The following is a 22,217-nucleotide window of genomic DNA, read 5'->3' on the forward strand; positions in this document are numbered from 1 at the left end:
ATACCAAAAAGTGGGCTAAGGACATGGATAGACAGTTCTCAAAAAAAGATATACAAATGGCCAACAAAGGTATGAAAAAATGCTCAACATCACTAATCATCAGGGAAATGCAAATCAAAACTACAATGCGATGCCACCTCCTCACTCCTGCAGAAATGGCCATAGTCAAAAAATCAAAAAACAATAGATGCATGCGTGGGGTGAACAGGGAACACTTCTACACTGCTGGCAGGATTGTAAACTAGTACAGTTACTATGGAAAACAGTGTGGAGATTCCTTAAAGAACTAAAAGTAGAACTACCATTTGATCCAGCCTTCCCACTGCTAGATATCTACCCAGAGGAAAAGAAGTCATTATTCGAAAAAGACACTTGCACACGCATGTTTATAGCAGCACAATTCACAATTGCAAAATCGTGGAACCAACCCAAATGCCCATCAATCAATGAGTGGATAAAGAAACTGTGATTTATACATATATATATGTGTGTGTGTGTGAATATGAATGATGGACTACTACACAGCCATAAAAGGAATGAATTAACAGCATTTGCAGTGACTTGGATGAGATTGGAGACTATTATTCTGAGTGAAATAACTCAGGAATGGAAAACCAATCATCGTATGTTCTCACTGATATGTGGGAGCTAAGCTATGAGGACGCAAAGGAATGGACTTTAGGAACTTGGGGGTAAAGTAGGAGGGGGGCGAAGGATAAAAGACTACAAATACGGTGCAGTATATACTGTTTGGGTGATGGGTGCACCAAAATCTCACAAGTCACCGCTAAAGAACTTACTCGTTTAACCAAATACCACGTGTACCCCTATAACTTAATGGAAAAAAATTTTTTAAAAACTTTTAAATGTATACTGTTATAACTCTTATAACTTGGTTAATATAGAATGTTGCTGTTGGTAATGGTTAGCTTTTTATTTAGAATCATTCTGACTAGCAGCTACCGGCTGGAAAGGTGTAGGCATATACAGATCTCAGTGCATTTTTTAGAGATGTTTTCTAAAGAAATTTGTCTACCATATTTCAGATACTTATTGACCAATTTCCCTGTGCAAAGTACCATAAATAAGTAAATAGACACATGAGACACAAGCCTTACTTACACTCAGTTAACTCCCAGTCTAGTTTAAGAAATAGATCTGATAAACAGAATTAAAAGTTAGATGGTTTGTCCTAAAAAACATGGGGACAGAAAAAAGTTCTAGTTAATTGAGGGTTCTAGATTGAGTTTTTGTTGTTTTAAACTTTGTGCCATTTTTATAAAAGCTTAAACCTTTGCAGATGATCACTGGCCTGAGTTAACTTTCATTCACCTTGGTCCTCCTGGAACTTGGTTGAGTTCCATAAAACAATTAAGAATACAACAAAACACTTCTTCAATGAATGTATTTTTCTGAATCTAAAAGCTTTGAGCTGATTTCTTTATATAATGGCACACAGTAACCTAAAATAAAATGTTCACTAATTTGTATATGTTACAGACAACACTGACCATTTATATCTGCAAAATGCTACTCTAACTCCTAGCAACTATGACATTATTCTACAAGAAATGTCATGTGTGCAAATGAAAGAAATTAAGTTTCCAATTTTTAAAAAAATTGCCTCATTTAGGCTGGGTGCGGTGGCTCAGGCCTGTAATCCCAGCACTTTGGAAGGCCAAGGTGGGCAGATCATTTGAGGTCAGGAGTTCAAGACCAGCCTGGCCAACATGGTGAAACCCCGTCTCTACTAAAAATACAAAAAAAATTAGCCGGGCGTGGTGGCGCGACAGTGTCTGTAGTCCCAGCTACTCGGGAGGCTCAGGCAGGAGAATCACTTGAACCCAGGAGGCAGAGGTTGCAGTGAGCTGAGATCGTGCCACTGCACTCCAGCCTGGGCGACAGAGTGAGACTCTGTCTCCAAAAAAAAAAATTGCCTCATTTACTATATTTTGTGACATATTTCTTTCCCCAAACTTTCTTAATGGTTTTACAGAAATTCTGGAAGATAATGTGCTCTTAGTTGAGCTTTTCGATTCTCTTGGTGCTCCTGAAATGACTACTACTAGTATTAATGACCAGCTAGTTAAAGAGGGCCTAGCATCTTATGAAATAGGGTAAGTAGATATGTAAACTTTCATTGTTAGTTCATGTTCTTATGTAACATTGTAATCACAAGAAGGGAAACTGGCATATCATTCCCCATTGGAGATGAGCTTAGACTGTAGACCTGAGAATTTTCCCTGTCCTGGACCAGAAAAAATAGAAAATAACTGGAGTCATTAATGAGGACTAGAGTGACTTTTCCCTCCATTACTAAGGAACCCAGAAACCAAGAGAAAGGCTCCTTGAGAGTGCTTCTAAGGAAAGGAGACTGCCGTCTTATTTCTGCTTAGGAAGCCCCTTGTGCCTGATTGAGAAAGGAATTGGGAAGAGAAATGGCAGGATGGAGAATAAGCATAGTGGTAGAGTAGCTTACATTTCCATTTGTAGAAATGTTGATTTTCCTGGATTCAAGTGGATACTTTGAATGATAACCAGGCTTGAGCCATTGTGCTAATACTCACCCAGGACAGGCTAGTGGTTAGGGTGACCCCAGAAGCAGAAGAATAGAGTGGTGGCAAGGACAGGTGGGAGGGTTTTGAGGTCAAGACAAAGAATTCTTGCACAACAGGGACTTGTGCAGTGGGAGTGGCCCTGGAGGAGGCTGAGATGGGCGGATCACTTGAGAGGAGTTTGAGACCAGCCTGTCCAATATGTTGTAACCCCATCTCTACTAAAAATAAAAAAATTAGCTGGGCGTGGTGGCGTGCGTGCCTATAGTCCCAGCTACTCGGGAGGCTGAGGCAGAAGAATCACTTGAACCCAGGAGGCGGAGGTTGCAGTGAGCTGAGATTGTGTCACTGCACTCCAGAGTGTCTGACAGAGCAAGACTCTGTCTAAAAAAAAAAAAAGAAAAAAGAAAGCCAGTATTCAGATAGCACCCACATGTGATGCCTGTCAGCATAAGCCAAAGAAGTAGTGACACCCCATAGAGGCCTGCAGTGACTCATACTAGTATTAATGATCTGTGGACATGCTTTCCTGCTCACTCCCATGCTGGAGGAGCTAGAATCAGGAGCTTTTCCACTATAGGTCTCAAATGAGAGCGGAAAAGAAATGAGAATAAACATTCAAATTAATGTTGAACTGGGCCGGGCACAGTGGCTCACGCCTGTAATCCCAGCACTTTGGGAGGCTCAGGCAGGCGGATCATGAGGTCAGGAGTTTGAGACCATCCTGGCCAACAAGGTGAAACCCCATCTCTACTAAAAATACAAAAAATTAGTGGGGCATGGTGGCAGGTGCCTATAATCCCAGCTACTTGGGAGGCTGAGGCAGGAGAATTGCTTGAACCTGGGAGGCGCAAGCTGCAGTGAGCCAAGATCACATCACTGCACTTCAGCCTGGGTGACAGAGCGAGACTCCATTTAAAAAAAAAAAATTTTTTTTGGATTGAATCTTCTCCTTTCTTTTTAAAGTGAGGGTTATTGAAGTATAACTTATATACAGTAAAAAGTCACCTGTTTTAGGTCCACAGTTAAATGAATTTTGACAAAATAGTCATATAAGTATCATCACAGTCAAGATACAGACCTGAGCAAATGCAAACAAATATTTTGCATACAGTTCTTTTCATTAACTTTTGTTGTTTTTCAGATACATCCTCAAAGATAATTCTCAAAAGCATATTGAAGTTTGGGATCCTTCTCCAGAAGAAATTATTTCAAATGAAGTACACAACTTAAATCCTGTGTCTGCAAAATCTCTACCTAATGAGAATTTTCAGTCACTTTATAATAAGGAATTGCCTGTGCATATCTGTAATGTAATATCTCCTGAGAAGATTTATGTTCAGTGGTTGTTAACTGAAAACTTACTTAATAGGTATAATATATATATATAATATATAAGGAAAATATTGCATATGATTTTATCCTTTATTCTGTTTCAAAGATCTAGAAGTCATAAATGTAGATTTTACTAGCAAAATTATTTTAACTAAGTAGTCTCAGCTAGTTAGAAGTATGAAAATAGGAAATCTGTTGGCTGTTTTCACTGCATTAGAATTTATTCATTCTACAAATACCTATTGAGCACCTACTATATGATAACCAGTATTATAAGTGTTAGGGATACCCTGGTATAAAACATAGACAAATCTTTGTTACCATGTAGCTTAAACTCTAGTAGAGGGAGAGAGAGTGAACATATAAAATTTTTAGTGTGGTAGATGGTGATAAGGGAAATAGAAAAAACTAAAGCATTTAGGGAGGAAGGCACTTTTAGGATGGTCAAAGAAGACCTCAGAGACAGTGACTTTTGAAACAGGCCCCAAAGAAGGAAGGAGGGAGGTAAGCCATATAAGTGTCTGAGGGAAGTTTATCTCAGGCAGAAGGAAGAGCTAGTTCAAAAACCTGAGGAAGAAATACACTTGTACATTCAAGGAAGAACAAGGTGCCCAGCTTGGCTGGAGCGGAATGAGCAAGCGGAGATTGTAGGAAACATGTAGCCAGAGAATTATATAAGAAAAGGTTTGGAAAGTTAAATATTTTTTATCTCTATAGTTTAGAAGAAAAGATGATAGCTGCTTATGAAAACTCAAAATGGGAACCTGTTAAATGGGAAAATGATATGCACTGTGCTGTTAAGATCCAAGATAAAAATCAGTGGCGAAGAGGCCAGATCATCAGAATGGTTACAGACACATTGGTAGAGGTAAATTACAGAGTTAAAAGTGTAATTGTGAAGGTGAATGAATGCATTTTGTATTTTTTTCCCTGGAGTTAAAACAGTTTTCATTGAGTTTTTCAGTTTGCCAAAAAAATATTTCGAAATGTTGTTTGTCTGTAGACTTAAAGTTATTATTTTCTTAGGTCTTGCTGTATGATGTGGGTGTTGAACTAGTAGTGAATGTTGACTGTTTAAGAAAACTTGAAGAAAATCTAAAGACAATGGGAAGACTCTCTTTGGAATGTTCTCTGGTTGACATAAGGTAGTTTTTAGCTGAGTAATTTTCTCATTATTTTAAATATTTTTAAATGCGTTCTCGTCAGTTTTAATTTTGCTAAGATATTCTGAAATTTTCCTAAAATCTAGTTAATTTTGGACTTCAAGAGGGAAAGAGAGAAGTTTGGAGCACGTAAATTTAGTGGCATTAAGAAATAGAGATAGGTGAGTATGAAAGTGCCTAGATAGAATTCAAACCGTTGAATATTAAAAATTTTACTTTGAGGAACAACAAACACAGAAATAAATTGTGTAAGTTTAGAATTGCATAGAAAGCTAAAAATATGTAAATTACCAAAAAGTGAATTTGTGGAGGATTCTGGGAAAATGACAGAACAGTTTTAGTCTACTGGAATCCCACTATAAAAACAGCAACTTGGATAGTAAAACTAAAGACTACACAGCCAATATCTACAACAAAATCAGATGACAAGTTACTTCTGTGAGCCCTCAAATATTAGCAGGTGGGGTACACCATGAACCAGGACCTTTACAGTATCAACATTTGTGTGGCAGGATTTGGAGGGAAGGCAGACTAGGATTCCAACAGCTTTGAGAATAGGAATCGGCAACGGTATTTCACTGGCGCATGCAGGCTAATCTGAGAATAGCAGCCAAAACTAAGGGATAAGGCAGGATGCAGTTCTTATATGAATGCAAGAAAGAGATCTGTAAATGTGCCAAACTCCCACAATACTGGAGCGTTTTTAGCCGTATAACCTCTTGAAAGTAAACTGAAACTCCTTTCCATAACCCCACACTGAGAAGAAATTGCTGGGAATAGACTTCAATTTGAGCAAGACAGGCAGTGGAGCAAAGGAAAGAAAAGATCCAGATGAAAGGAGGGGAAAGGGCCAGGTGAGGTGGCTCACACCTGTAATCCCAGCACTTTGGGACACTAAGGCAGGAACATCACTTGAGGCCAGGAGTTCAAGCCTGCAGTGAGCTATGATTGTGCTACTGCACTCCAGCCTGACACAGTGATTTTTTAACCTAAATACAGAATTTTGCAGTTTTTCCTGCCAAATTTGTTCTAATTGGTTTTGAAACTCAGATATTTGATTTTGTTATTCCATGTCTAGGCTGCCCCATCTAATGCTGTATTATCTGTAGACTTGAAAGCATACCTCTGTCAGAGTTGTAGTCTACAGTTTATGAGCTAAATCGAACTAATATGCACTTGGCCTGCAGAATGTTTTTTGAACTATGGCATATTAACTCTTTAAAAAACTAGTAAATTCCACATAAAAATTTGAGTTTCTTTTATTGGCAAAAATTGGATATCTAGCCTCTAAGCCAAAAATAACTGGCCCTCCCCCAGAGGTTCAGAACAGTTGTTAACTTTTGTTAAATAAACCCTAGCTGCTATTCACCATAGAATACCAGATAAAATTGTACATATAGGAAACAGCTCTATCATTAAGTCTACTGGCAGATCGTTTGTTATTGCTTTGATATGCTACCACAGTTATCCAAATCACTTGGGGTAGCTTGTAGTTCTAGACCAGGGTATCCAAACTTTTGGTTTCTCTGGGCCACATTGGAAGAAGAATTATTGTCTTGGGCCACACATAAAATACACTGACAGTAATAATAGCTGATGAGCTAAAAAAAATTGAAAAAAATCTCATAATGTTCTAAGAAAGTTTATGAATTTGTGTTGGGCTACATTCAAAGCTGTCCTGGGCCGTGTGCAGGTTGGATAAGCTTGTTTTAGATTGTCTCAAATTTGATCACTGACTTGAAGCCAATTGCATGTTATTTGGCTAAAAGACATATACACATGCACACACTTAGGTATACATATATGTGTAGGCTTTTCAGACATGGATTATAAATAGGAATATTAGAAATATGTTTACCAATAAAGCTAAAAGATTCGAAAGACCCTTTCAGCATTATTATAAAAACTTTAATGAACCTGTGTGTGATTTTTTTTTTTAAGAAATAAACCATACTGGTTTATCTAGCTTATTTGTATCTCATCTGCAAGGATCTCATGAGAGAACTCCAGATACACTATACAATATACCTTAACATTTATTGTCTACTAGGACAGGCATTGTATGATGTGCTTTACGTGTGTTAGTTTAGTTCTCACAATAATACCGACATGGAACTATTATTATCTTCATATTACAATTGAAGAAACTTCATGATGAGAAATTAAGTACCTTACCCAAAGTTATCTATATAAATCTAACATTGGTTTGATTTATCTGTTTTGGGAACCTGATCTTTTTATTTATTTATTTATTTTTTTTTTTTTTGAGACAGAGTCTCCCTCTGTTGCCCAGGCTGGAGTGCAGTGGCGTCATCTCAGCTCACCGCAACCTTTGCCTCCCAGATTCAAGCGATTCTCCCACCTCAGCCTCCCGAGTAGCTGGAATTACAGGCGTGCACCACCATGCCCGGCTAAGTTTTGTATTTTTAGTAGAGATGAGGTTTCACCATGTTGGCTAGGCTGGTCTCAAATTCCTGACCTCAAGTGATGTGTCTGCCTCGGCCTCCCAAGGTGCTGGGATTATGGCGTGAGTCACCACGCCTGGCCTAAAAATTGATATTATAATAGGATAGCTTCTTTTTTTAAAATTTGTTTTATTCCCTAAAGATCCTTGTTCTGATAGGATACCTTCTTCTTAATGACCCATTTCTCTAATCTTACAGGCACCTCTTCCTATTGTCTGTGATCACTGATGGTGACAATGGGACACTAAATCTTTTCAGTGCCCTGGAATGGAAGTCTCAGCTCACATACTATATAAATCCTATGTTAGTTTTCACTTTGACATTAAATAGTTCAATCAGAATAATTGAACAGAATTATATCAGTCCCTTAATTGTACCTAACAGTACAGAGAATGTGTTTGTGTACATACTTTAAATGGTATCTTATGGACTGGAATGGAATACCATTATCATTTTAAAAGCCTAATAATAGCTAACCTTTAAGAACTTCTGGAACCTGCATTAATTGTCTTAAAGACACTATTTCACTTAATCCTAACAACAAACCTTAAAGATATAAATACTATTTATAGGTAAGGAAATTGAATATTTAAGAGGTTAAGTATTTTATTATCTGGATAAAATATCTGCTGACTGTTGAGTTAGGATTATAAACACAGTCTGAACCCAGAACCGGGACTCTAACCACTCTGTTTTACTGTCATTTTAAGAAATCCCTTTTAATAGATTGTTCTTAGGTTGATTAAATATATATTACACTCAGTTTACCCTTTTACCATTCTTAAGTGTACAGTTCTATGACATTAAGAACATTCATGGCCGGACGCGGTGGCCCACGCCTGTAAACCCAGCACTTTGGGAGGCTGAGGCAGGCAGATCACTTGAGGTCAGGAGTTTAAGACCAGCCTGGCCAACATGGTGAAACTTCGTCTCTACTAAAAATACAAAAATTAGCCAGGTGTGGTGGCAGGCACCTGTCATCCCAGCTACTTGGGAGGCTGAGGTAGGGAGAATTGCTTGAACCTAGGAGGCAGAAGTTGCAGTGAGCCAAGATTGCGCCACTGCACTCCAGCCTGGGTGACACAGTGAGACTCTGTCTCAAAAAAATAAATAAAAAAATCACATTGTTGTATAGCATTTACCACCATTTCATCTCAAGAACTTTTTCATCTTCCCTAACTGAAATTCTATATTCATACATTTTTTAAATGTTAAATTAATATTTATATCCATAATAAATCAATGGATAACCTTGATGTTACATTGACTTATATTTATATACCATCGTAATAAATAAACCATAACTGGTTCCAAGAGTTCCTAACAATTTAAGCTTCTTAGCACATAAGAACTCTCTCTGGGCTTTACAATAAGTAGTATAGCACATTTACGAAATCCTGTTTGGCCAAGTTATGTGCCCAGTTGATTTGGTTAGTTCACCCATATAAGCCATGTTACTGTGAAAAGATTGACCAGGCGAAGCTGAGTGTGGTGGCATACACCTTTAGCACCAGCTACTCAGGAGACCAAGATGGGAGGATCCGTTGAGCCCATGAGTTCAAGTCCAGCCTGGGCAACATAATGAGGCCCTGTCTCTTAAAAAAATTGACCAGAATTAATTGTTTACTCAGTTAATGGGCTAGCTCAATGAAACTCTGGAACTAGAAACCATATTTAGAGAGCCTATAGAGCCTGCATTATGTTATCTGTAATCTCTTCTGTGTTACCAATTCTTTATTCTTGGAGATAGATTTGCTGATTAGAGACATCTAAGGCAAGCTTGTCCAACCCACAGCCCACAGGCCACATGCAGCCCAGGATGGCTTTGAATGCAACCCAACACAAATTTGTAAACTTTCTTAAACATTATGAAATTTTTTTGAGTTTTTTGTTTTGTTTTGTTTTTAGCTCATCAGCTACATTAGTGTATTTTATGTGTGGCCCAAAATAATTCTTCCAGTGTGGCCCAGGGAAGCCAAAAGATTGGACACCTCTGCAGTCACTCAGTTTCAACTCTGCAAACTAAAATGGATGATGAAATTGGATACTCTGCATTTCATTTATCTGTCAGATATTTATTGAGCATTTTTTCAAACTATGCATTACTGTCTGACAGTATTTGCTGAAAGCTTAGGCTATGGTACTGCTAAATTTTAGTCATTTAAAACTGTATTACCACATCTATCAGATAATGTAAAAAATTTTGTTGAATCAGTAATTAAAATTTCTGGTATTTCTATTATTTATGGGTAGCAATTCAAGTTAGATTTGAAATCCAAAGAACTTCCAAAGATGGGCAGTGGAATCATCATTACAAAGAGACTTTTTTTCTTTCTATTAAATATTTCTGGAATGGCTTCTATGTGACAGGGCACTATACTAGTCATCAGGGAATATGATGATGCACATAACACATCATCATTCCTGTTCTCTTGGAGTTTACAGTCTAGTTGACATACATGAAATGTATATAATGACTTAAAAAGTATTTAAAATATACCTGTTTTTTACAGCTCCTCAATGTAGCTGCAGAAAAGATACACATAAATAAGTTAATATGTAATATGGGCCCTCAGTAAAATAGAGGGATGAAAAAAAGATAGGAAAATGAGGGAAAAAATTGTAAAAATAATACGAATCCATGTTTAAATTGTTTTTTTTACTACATATAGTTGGTTCAAACTATGAGTGTATCTGTGTGTAAATATAGTGTTTTTTGTATATTTCAATATTGTATGCTATTTTTATAAAACAAGTTGCCACTGTTTTCTGTTGTAGACCAGCTGGTGGGAGTGACAAGTGGACAGCAACAGCTTGTGACTGTCTTTCATTGTACCTGACTGGAGCTGTAGCAACTATAATCTTACAGGTGGATAGTGAGGTAACAAGTTACAAGAGATATGTGCTGATGATCTCATTAATGTTTCCATCGATTCCATTTATTTTCTTTCTTGTAGAGAAAATAGCAGCCAACTATTTGGATTTTGTTACAAATTTTGTCGGTTTTATTTCAAAGTATAAGAGGCATATATCTTTTCAGACCACTTCAAAAATATTCTTTGCTTTCTTTTTTCTAATTTAAATGTTTTATTACATTGAGTAGAATTTTGTAATTCATTTTATTACTATTTATGTGCTTTCTCCAGTTTTATACCTTTTTCCATATGAAGCAGAATATATGTTTTGTAGTTCTTTTGCTTTTTGTAGGAGAAAAAAGGCACACCTTGGAAAATATATTTTGATTCTCTAATTTACGAGAATGCAAAAGAATAAAGAAACTTGTTAACTGATGTTGTATTCCTCACTTCCCAACTCCCCATTCTGTGACTGGAAAAAAAGTTTCCAGTTTGATTTTTTTTCTTTAATTTCACCTTGACATTGAGGTTTTCCTGATGCATTTCACAAAATAACTCTCTGTTCCACTCTCTTCCATGCTGTTTGCTTTTTTTAAGATGGAGTTTTGCTCTTGTGGCCCAGGCTGGAGTGCAGTGGCGCGATCTCGGCTCACCGCAATCTCCGACTCCCAGGTTCAAGAGCTTCTCCTGTCTCAGCCTCCCGAGTAGCTGGGACTACAGGCATGCGCCACCACGCCTGGCTAATTTTGTATTTTCAGTAAAGACGGGGTTTCCCCATGTTGGTCAGGCTGGTCTCAAACTCCCGACCTCAAGTGATCCGCCCACTTCTGCCTCTCAAAGTGCTGGGATTACAGGCGTGAGCCACTGCACTCGGCCCAGTGCTATTTTTGGATGTGTTTAGATATCAAAATAACTTGACTCAGCTGGGAATATTTCTTGCTTAGAGAAATGTAGAAGAACTGCCTGTGAAATGCACATTGTTTATATGAAGATTTCATTTTGGTGTTTCATATTTACTCTGCTCTTAAATCACTACAGGAAAACAACACAACATGGCCATTACCTGTGAAAATTTTCTGCAGAGATGAAAAAGGAGAGCGTGTTGATGTTTCTAAATATTTGATTAAAAAGGGTTTGGCTTTGAGAGAAAGGAGGTATAGACTTTTTTAAAAAATTTTGACATCAGTTTGTGATGGATGCCTCAGTTGCGTGTGCAAATCTTATGTGTGCTTTCAAGTCTGAATTGCATCTTGTTTGCTCTTAAAGATTTATAAGCTGACCCTGAGGAGCCAGCTCAGAAATAGATTCCTTCAGAATTGCTCATTTCATTTTTCAGGCATGTCAGTTCTTGCACACTTAAGCCTGTTTACTGACATACTTGCTTTTGTAATTTCCCCTCTCCTTTGACATTTACACTGTAAACCAAAGAAAAAGAGAACAATGTAGTGGATACCAGATCTGAGCCCTTTGGTATCCTTTACTTAGACATAAATGTTTAGGCTTTATTTTAGAAATTCTGGTAGGTATATACCTACTAGATGTATTTATATGAAATGTAAATGTATTTATATGAAACAGGATGAGTAGCAAATAAATAATTGAACAGTATTTACGTTTAAAGATCCTTTCGGGTTCTATGTTTGGAGTTTAAGCACCTTTGGTCCAGGGACAGGATCAGGATATGGTTGTGGCTCTAGCTTAATCTTTTCTCTCTCTCTCTTTTTTTTTTTTTTTTTTCTGAGACGGAGTCTGGCTCTGTCACCCAGGCTGGAGTGCAGTGGCGCAATCTCGGCTCACTGCAAGCTCCACCTCCCAGGTTCACGCCATTCTCCTGCCTCAGCCTCCTGAGTAGCTGGGACTACAGGTGGCCGCCACCTCGCCTGGCTAATTTTTTGTATTTTTAGTAGAGACGGGGTTTCACCGTGTTAGCCAGGATGGCCTCGATCTCCTGACCTCGTGATCTGCCCGCCTTGGCCTCCCAAAGTGCTGGGATTACAGGTGTGAGCCACCACGCTCGGCCTCTTTTCTCTCTCTTTCTAGAGATTTAGAGGTATGTTGGAATTGGAGACACAAGTCCCAATTAGCCACTTTGTACCATATATGGCCAGATCTCCGTAGATGTGTTTGCCTTAACTTATATCTTACCTTCTTTAGAACAGGGATCCCAGTCCTGATGAAATGGAAAGAGAATTAGAAGTCAGAAAGAAAGTGGGACATGAGGCTAGATATGGGAGATGTGGCCTGGATTGCCCGGGCTTTGGCATACAGCTAATTGCTTTGCCTTTAGGCTAAGGCAATTCCTTGATAGAAGAAATGTTAGAATGGAAAATGCTAGGCAAGTTAATACTACTGACATTGTCTGCTACCAGTTGTAATGTTCTTTACTGCTTTTACAGACTAAAACTACTAGCTATCTTAAGGCGGCGGTGGGTTGGGGGACTAGCAGGGTATTTGAGGAATTATGTGGCTTTTTCATAAATGCTTTATTTCCATTGATTGATTGATTGATTGATTGAGACAGAGTCTCATTCTGTTGCCCAGGCTTGAGTGCAGTGCTGTGATCTCAGCTCACTGCAATCTCTGGCTCCTGGGTTCAAGCGATTCTCGCACCTCAGCCTCCCAAGTAGCTGGGATTATAGGCATGCGCCACCATGCCTGGCTAATTTTTCTATTTGTAGTAGAGACAGGGTTTCATCATGTTGGCCAGGCTGATCTCGAACTCCTGACCTCAGGTGATCTTCCTGCCTCAGTCTCCCAAAGTGCTGGGATTATAGGCGTGAGCCACCATGCCCGGCCCTTATTTCCTTTTAAAAGTACAGGAGATGAGAAGAAAAAGAAACTTGCTATAATTCCGCTAAAACACAATCAATATTAATATTTCCTCCTAAGATTTTATTTTTTTATACAGTAGGGATACCTATTTTTTTTAATTGGAAGGGAATAATATAAAGTAGAAAAACTGAGTAAATATAGCATATTACCACTTAGGTAATATATGAATATGGTATATTCATATATACGGATAGTACCTTATTGTTTTTTAAGAGACTCATGTTTTCTTTGTATTTTTGGATGCTAATAGCTTGCCAGATGTCTGTTCTATGTGTGGACTAAATTGAAATCATCTTAAAGGTGTTGTATCTTCTAGTAACATTGAATTCATTGTACAATGCTTGAGATATACATATGAAATTTTAAGAGAGCATAGTCTGTAAATATAGAAATTTAAAACATTTACTTAAATTTTTATTGCTTTTTCTCATCAGTCTCATAATTTAAAGTAGTTTTAATTTTAACTGATGCTAATTTTTATGTAACAAATTAGAGCAAATATTTTCTTTCAATTTCATGTATATCTGAATGATTCTTTTTATGTTGTTTTACCCAGAATTTTATATTTGCTTATGTTTAGATGTGTTCTTTTTTGGATGTTACAGAATTAATAACTTAGATAACAGCCATTCATTATCTGAGAAGTCTCTGGAAGTCCCCCTGGAACAGGAAGATTCAGTAGTTACTAACTGTATTAAAACTAACTTTGACCCTGACAAGAAAACTGCTGACATAATCAGTGAACAGAAAGTGTCTGAATTTCAGGAGAAAATTCTAGAACCAAGAACCACTAGAGGGTATAAGCCACCAGCTATTCCTAACATGAACGTATTTGAGGCAACAGTCAGCTGTGTTGGTGATGATGGAACTATATTTGTAGTACCTAAACTATCAGGTGAGACCTTCTATGTTATGTAGGCTCTAGTTCTCTAGTACGAACGACAGGGATTGAAATACTTTGGGCAACCTCTTTGAACGTTATTTTCACAAGGTTGTTAGGAGGATTAAATGATTTCACACAATGCATGCAAAGTGCTTTTAATAATGCCTAACATAAAAATCATTTAATGCAGTTTTTCATTATTCTAACATAGCAGTGTTATATAATTATATTATGTGAGTGCTATTCTCAGTATAAGAAGAAAGGAATTTGGAATTTCCATTTCCACTACTATGGCAGATGAACAACCCTCCCAAATAAGTCAGATCAGATGCCAATTTTTTTTTTTAATGAACACTTACTGAGTTGGCATTAAAGTAAAGAACATACCAAGCTCCAAAACAAACTGAAATCACACACTGGGAGGTAAGCATGTGCCAAAGAAGGCAATCACTCTAGAGTTGCTTCATAACTATAGAACCTTGAGCAACTGTGATAACTACATGAAGTTAAAGAAAAAGGAAATAAAGGTCCAGGCCCCTTTACTCAAAGTGGGAAATCTAATAGGAATTCCTCATGTGAAGATGGGATCCCAAAGGATGACTCCCACAATGGGTCAATGTGCTGATCACATTAAAAATCACTAAAAGTAGAGTTCAAATGAATTTTTTGAAGTTACTATAAAATGTTATTTATGTGAAAGAGTATAAAATGTATTATTTAAATAACAACATTAAGATGAGTAGCCACATACACATTGCCCATGATAAGAAGCAGCATCGCCAGAACCTAAGCAGACTTGTGTTGCCCCACTTGATCACGTCTCCTGTTTTGCCACCCCAGATACAGCCACTTTTCTGAATTAGCTAATTATCATTTCCTGTGTGCGTCACTAAACAAATTTTTTAGGTTTTCCATCTTTCAAACTTTATGTAACCAGAACCATAATGTACATATTCTTTTGTGACTTTTCATCAAACTGTTCGAGATTTGTCCACCTTGGCGCATTTCACTATATTTCATTCATTTTTTAAATGAATTAATAGCATTTCCATGAATGATTATGTCTCGGTATCTGTTCTATTGATAGACACATGTGTTTCTAGATTTTCTGTGATTACAAAAAATCCTACTATGAACATTCTTGTACCTGTCTCTTGTTACACAAGCAGAATTTTTCTAGGGCACATAATCTAGTGAACAGAATTGGTAATCATTGGCCAGGCACGGTGGCTCATGCCTGTCATCCCAGCACTTTGGGAGACCGAGGTGGGTGGATCACAAGGTCAGGAGTTTGAGACCAGCCTGGCCAACATGGTGAAACCCCATCTCTACTAAAAATACAAAAATTAGCTGGACATGGTGGCACGAACCTGTAATCCCAGCTACTCAGGAGGCTGAGGCAGGAGAATCATTTGAACCCGGGAGGCAGAGGTTGCAGTGAGCCCAGATCGTGCCACTGCTTTCCAGCCTGGACAATAGAGTGAGTGAGACTCCATTAAAAAAAAAAAAAATTGGTGGATAATTTCTAGGTAATGTCAAATTGTTTTTCAAAGTTGTTTATAACAGTTTACACTCATCACTACCAGTGCATGAAGAGTCTTGTTACCCCACATCCTTGCTAACACTTAATAAGGTCAGATTAAGTTCTACCTATCCTAGTGGATGTGAAATTGTCTCTCACTATGGCTTTAGTTAGCATTTCCTTGACTTCTTATGGCGTAAACATCATTTCTTCTATTTGAGTCGTTTGTATTTCTGTGTTTTTGGAATGCCTATCCATGTCTTCGCTCACTTTCCATTAAGTCATTGCTTTCTGATTCATAGTTCTTAATATATCCTGAACACTTATCCCTTCTTGGTTTTATGTGTTCCAGGTATCTTCTCTTAGTTTCTTACTTGTCTTTTCAGTGTCTTTTGGGAGTTTCTGGATGAACAGAAGGTCTTAATGTAATTTTATCAATCTTCTTTGTTTTTTGGTTTTGTATCTCGTTTTAAATCCTTTCTTGGGCCAGGCGCAGTGGCTCATGCCTGTAATCCCAGCACTTTTGAGAGGCCTAGGTGGGTGGATCACAAAGTCAGGAGTTTCAGACCAGCCTGGCCAATGTGGTGAAACCCCATCTCTACTAAAAATACAAAAATTAGCTGGGCGTGGTGGCAGGCATCTGTAATCCCAGCTACTCAGGAGGCTGAGGCAGAAGAATCGTTTGAACCTGGGAGGCAGAGGTTGCCGTGAGCCAAGATTGCGCCACTGCACTCCAGCCTGGGTGACAGAGCAAGAATCCGTCTCAAAAAAAAAAAAAAAAAAATCCTTTCTTACTCTGATGTCAGAAAGCTATTTCATTATATGATCTTGTAAAAAAATGTTTATAGTTTTGTTTTTTACATAAAGTCTTTAAGCTATCCCAGAATTGATTTTTCAGTAGGTAAGAAGAAGAGATCCAATTTTTTTTATAGGTTTAGTTAGTAGTCCTAGCTCATCGGCTTATACTCCACACATTCCCCACTGATCTGCAATGCTAACTTTGTCAAAGATTAAGGTTCCATATATGCACGAGTTGTTTCTGAACTTTCTGTTCTGTGTTAGTGCTATTTATCCCTACACCAATACCAGTTTTTTTCCTGAAGATAGCCTATACTACTTTTAGTGTGTATACAAGTTACTTTGTTGTGTATCCTATAACGCTTGAAATCCATTGGATTTCTTGTTTTTCTTTAGGTGTATCTTGGCTTCTTAAATTGTGTGTTTTATTCACTGTACCCTATTGTTTCTGTGGGAGACACTGTGTTCAAAGTGTTGCAAGGTCACAAAGCAAAGGCAAAGTTAGGCTAGAGATGAGGAAAGGTGACTTTTTTGAGAAACGCTCCAAACCCCATGGCTTTGGAAATATAGATAGATATGGACAGGGAGAAAATACTGGTAGACCTTTTTAGAGTTAGGAACTTTAGGGAGGTAGACATAGATCAGACAAAGGGGTTCAGCCTGGCTGGAAGAATAGAAGTAATGAAGTTTGGTAAGAATAAGGGAAATTAGGTATATGATGAAGTAGTTGGGTTTTTAGCATCATGATATATGAGGGCTGCCACTCAGGATTTTACTCTTTCCTCCATGATTTCAATATTTTTGTGCATCTGTAAACCTTGGGATCCTTGAGAATATAAAAATCCTGGAGTCCCATTTTTTTTGTACACCTAAGAGTGACAATGACACGTGGTTGGCAGAATTTAGAACTTAGGCCACCAGTGATTATGTAGACATCCTCAGTACTCTCCCAGCATGGAAGAGAAGCAATATGAACCCGGTTTCTATAGGCTGCTAAAATGACTCTTAGATCAGGACTAGCATAAATTAACCTGCTTTCCACCACTGTGTCTCCCTTATTTTCCTCACCTTGGCACTAAGATGCTGGGGGTGTGGGTGGAGCGTTTCCAAGTTTGTAAGACCTGTCACTTACACAAGTTTGGAGGCTCTCTATGAAAAAAGAATACAGGCTGGGTGCGGTGGCTTACGCCTGTAATCTCAGCACTTCAGGTCAAGGCAGGAAGATTGCTTAAGCCCAGGAGTTTGCGACCAGGCTGGGCAACATGGTGAGACCCCATCGCTACAAAACATGCAAAGATTAGTTGGCCATGGTGGTGCATGCCTGGGTCTCAGCTACTCAGGAAACTGAGGCAGGAGGATTGCTTGAGCCCAGGAGGTCAAGGCTGTAGTGAGCTGCGTTCATGCCACTGCTCCAGCCTGGGCAACAGAGTAAGACCCTGTCTCATTTTCTAAAACTAAAATAAATACAGAAGTTTATATTTCTTGAGAATGAGAAAAGAAATCACAACAAATAACTGGAGCTTTAGGAACTTTTGAGAATATTCAGGTCCCTCATGAGATCTTTAGGCTTATGTGCAAATGCTGCAAATGCTTCCTGACTGTAACCTGGGCCCATCAGAATAGTCGATAACTCTAGCACTCATAGGGCTTAGTGTCATTGGCTCCTAATTAGTACCTATGGATAAGGGTATGGTAGCTATGAATTTACTGAAATTTTTCTCTCATTTGTTGATCTCCTAAATATATTTTTTAATTTGAAAGACAATAAAATCGGTACAATTGGCCGTTCTAGAAAAAATAACGTTTGAGACCTGTAGTAATAATACTTAACCCAGAAACTTTGCTTGACATGTATAAATAGTCATTGTTCAAACTAGTAGCCTGTTATCTGCCAGGCAGTGTGCTGGATGCTTTACATTTAATCCTCCTGCAGCACTTGATGATACTGACAGGTACTGTTATTCCCAGAAGATGCTGTTTCACCCAGAATAGGTGGTGGTATTATGGAAGGATAAACTGAGGCTTATTGGAGGTAAGGGAACTACCCAAGATCACACAACTAAAGCAGTAAGATGGGAATGGTAACTGACTCCAGAGCTTACCTTCTATGGTATCAGTTATGGATATATATATATATATATGTTTACTGTGGAACTAATGGGCCAATTAGCAATAAAAGCAAAATTGAAATTTTAATTTATATTGCCATCATCATACTGTATCTAAGCAACAAGTAGTATATAACCTGTGTCCTATTTTACTTAGGGCTGTCAAACTGACCCTATTTTGAATTGGTAGTACTTTCATATTAAGCTAGCTGGTATGTGTTTAGAGCTCCTTATGATGTTTGTACTCTCAAAATATAATCAAAGATCATAATATTGTTTATATGCTATTACTAGTATGTTTTAAAACACACACAGATTTTTACAAAAGTTCTGTTTGGGGGACTGGTTTTTAATTATACTACTGAAGAAATGAAGTTATTAAATTGACAAATGATAGGGAATTTTCCTTAATGCTTTCTATCTTTAATACTTTTTTTCAGAATTTGAGCTAATAAAAATGACAAATGAAATTCAAAGTAATTTAAAATGCCTTGGTCTTTTGGAGCCTTATTTCTGGAAAAAAGGAGAAGCATGTGCAGTAAGAGGATCCGATACTCTGTGGTATCGTGGCAAGGTGATGGAGGTTGTAGGTGGCGCTGTCAGAGTGAGTCTGATATTCTTTTGTGACAATTCTAAAGCTAAATGCTATAGCATTAAATAGTCTTGTGCATTTGAACACGAGAAAGTTGGATTAAAACATCTTTTGATGAAAATTGTGTAGGAAGATCAGTTATATTGTACTTTTATTTGTAATAATTTTTCGTTTTATTTGCAAATATATTTAGTAACCTGAATAAGCAAAAAATAGGGAGGGATTTGATCATTGGTTAATGGATAGACCTCTTAGTTGTAATTGGTAGCCCTGTTTCCACACATAGTGTTAAGTAAAACAATATGTTTTCCAGTATGTTAAATATCTCGCTAGCAAATTTGTTTATGGCCCTGTTAGTTTTTCAGGATAACGACTAATTTACCTTTCCAGAATAATGAGGTAACTAACACTCAGGTTTCAGTCAAAATCTTCAAAAATAGCTACATCCTTTGAAATATATATATATATAAAATATAGATGAAAATACCTCTAATACATTGTATTTACTAAGTAAAGGAATGAAATTGATGAAGTACTTCATCATATATTCAGCACTTGAAAACTTTAATTAGGGGTGAGGGGAGAAAAACTTAAGTGAAAAAGTCTTTTTTCCACCTGGACAGGAGTTTATTTTCTGTTTGATGATGATAACTAATGATTACATAGCACTTCAGGTTTTTTAGCTTCCTTCACATATATGCATTTATATTTTATAGTTTGTTTACAGTTATCCTAGACATAGATTATTATTCCCATTTTACTAATAAGAAAATTGAAATTTAGGTTCAGTGACCTGCCAGGGTCACTGGGTAGTAATGCTAGAGTTAATATCCAAGCATCTGATTCCTAAACTTCTGATTCTAAGTCTTACACTTTTTCTATTGAACTACAAATTTTTAATGGTTTTCATAGAAGTAAAATAGTTTCAAATTTGGGGTGAGTACTTAAACATCTGGATAGTTATAGGGGTTATCTGAGCAACTTGAATGTATGTGCAAAGTGACATACATTCGAGTTGCTCAGATAACCCCTGACCTTTTTTTCTTTACAAAGGTAAAATGAAATTCAGTGTTCATCAAGTTATCATACTTCATGAACTTTACATTTGTAGAATCAAAATAAATAAGATGGTGAACTTTTATAAAAATTCTCATGCTGTCCAAATATCTGTTTATTTTAACTTACTTAAAAGAACTTTGATAGTTTAATCATCACCTTTTATTTTTTTCATGTGGTCACTTTACATTTTTAGTATACACAATGGATTTTTCATTTCTTAATCTGATATCTTTCAAAGTTTATCCTGTGATTCACATTAAGAAATAAATGTCTCGTGAAACCATATCCTAATTATCTGTGAGGTATTCAGACATTTTTTGTTTAATTCTATTTTATTTTTTAATGGTAATTGCCAAGCAAATCCAATTAAACAGTGATATGTTCATTTCATTATGTTGGGACAGAAGAAATAATTTATTGGCATTCCTTATCCTTAAGACAATTTAGAAATTGAATTATCAAAATTAAAGCATTTCAAAAAGGGATTGCTCTTGAGGAATTTGTAAATCCAATAAAACCCAGTTTTTTTTCAAAAAAAAGTCTGATGGGTTAAGTGTAAGAAAACCTTTTTACAATGAGGTTTGATACACTATTGGATGAGGGAATAAATACAGTATTACTTTTTTTCCTGGAAATTTTTGAAATCCAGATTTTAAACTTTTCAGATGTCTTTTTTTTTTTTTTGAAACAAGTTCTTCCTCTGTCACCAGGCTTGGAGTGCAGTGGCACAGTCACAGCTCATTGCAGCCTTGACCTCCCGGGCTTAGGCAGTCCTCCCACCTCAGCATCCTGAGTAGCCGGGACTACAGGCGCATACCACCACAGACAGCTAATTTTTTTTATTTTTGTTAGAGATGGGGTCTTGCCGTGTTCCCAAGGCTGGTCTCAAACTCCTGGGCTCAAACAATCCACCCACCTCTGCCTCCCAGAGTGCTGGGATTATAGGCATGAGCCATCAAGCCCGGCCTGTCTTTTTTTCTAATAACAGGAAATTCCTTTTGTCCCCTAGCTTTTAATAATAAATTTTAACTATAAATTGTATTTGTCGTGTTTCAGGTACAATATTTAGATCATGGATTCACTGAAAAGATTCCGCAGTGCCATCTTTACCCTATTTTGCTGTATCCTGATATACCCCAGTTTTGTATTCCTTGTCAGCTCCATAATACCACACCTGTGAGTACATAATAATTTGTGGAATGATTAATTTTAAATATTAGTTTTTATTAATAATTTTTTAGAAATATTTAGAATGTAAAATGAAATTTCAGTTGCAACAAAAAAGTAATAAAACACCAACAAATAAGTTACTAAGACAGCTAAACAGCCTTTATGAAGACAGTTACAAAATTATACTCAAGGCTGTAAAACATCTGAATAAATGAAGAGACATGTTCATAAGTAGGAAGGTATAAGATTGCAAAAGTTTTATTTCTTTATCAAATGAAATTACAACAAACTTGAAGCTGGAGATCAGATAAAAGAGTGTCTTATTCTGTATTGCTGCATAACAAATTAAGCTGAGACTTAGTGGTCTAAAACAACAATAAACTTTCATTATCTCATGCAGTTTCTATGGTTCAGGGATTAGGAGTGGCTTAGCTGGTTTGTTTTGACAAGGGGTCTGTATTAGTCCATTTTCACACTGCTATAAAGATACTACCTAAGACTGGGTAATTTATGAAGAAAAGAGGGTTAATTGACTCACAGTTCTCCATGGTTGAAGAGGCATTAGGAAACTTACAGTTGTGGTGGACGGCGAAAGAGAAGCACATACCTTCTTCACAAGGTTGCAGGAGAAAAAGAGATTGAAGGGGAAACGGCCACTTTCAAAACCATCAGTTCTTGTGAGAACTCACAATCAGCATGGGGGAAACTGCCCCATGATCCAGTCACCTCCCACCAGGTTCCTCTCTCGACACATGGGGATTACAATTCAAGATAAGATTTGGGTGGGGACACAGCCAAACCATATCATGGTCCCTTGTGATACTGCCGTCAAGATGTCCACCATAAGTGTAGTCACCTGAAGGATCAACTGGGGACAGAG

General features: G+C 37.3%; 1 protein-coding gene across 17 annotated transcripts in view, besides 1 other annotated feature; it reads left to right on the forward strand.

Annotated features, from left to right (window-relative positions):
- RNF17 (ring finger protein 17) overlaps positions 1-22,217 on the forward strand; it is a 140,815-nt gene that overhangs the window by 92,278 nt on the left and 26,320 nt on the right. For 14 of the 17 annotated variants that reach the window (XM_011535156.3, XM_011535152.3, XM_011535158.3 and 11 more), the window contains 9 exons: positions 1,997-2,117; positions 3,700-3,927; positions 4,608-4,758; positions 4,917-5,035; positions 10,297-10,399; positions 11,412-11,527; positions 13,811-14,100; positions 18,957-19,120; positions 21,224-21,343. In XM_011535156.3, the coding sequence (XP_011533458.1) occupies positions 1,997-2,117; positions 3,700-3,927; positions 4,608-4,758; positions 4,917-5,035; positions 10,297-10,399; positions 11,412-11,527; positions 13,811-14,100; positions 18,957-19,120; positions 21,224-21,343 (1,412 nt within the window). The remainder of the gene's footprint in view (positions 1-1,996; positions 2,118-3,699; positions 3,928-4,607; positions 4,759-4,916; positions 5,036-10,296; positions 10,400-11,411; positions 11,528-13,810; positions 14,101-18,956; positions 19,121-21,223; positions 21,344-22,217) is intronic. The other 3 variants (XM_011535157.3, XM_011535160.3, NM_001184993.2) reach the window with 1 other exon arrangement.
- Positions 11,037-11,086: a silencer, noted in NCBI's record as "silent region_5181". NCBI's record gives its function as "represses an Ori minimal core promoter by ATAC-STARR-seq in GM12878 lymphoblastoid cells {active_cell/tissue: GM12878}" and the evidence as "EXISTENCE:reporter gene assay evidence [ECO:0000049][PMID:35858748]".

The sequence above is a fragment of the Homo sapiens genome, chromosome 13 (assembly GCF_000001405.40).
Source record: "Homo sapiens chromosome 13, GRCh38.p14 Primary Assembly".
NCBI lineage: Eukaryota > Metazoa > Chordata > Mammalia > Primates > Hominidae > Homo > Homo sapiens.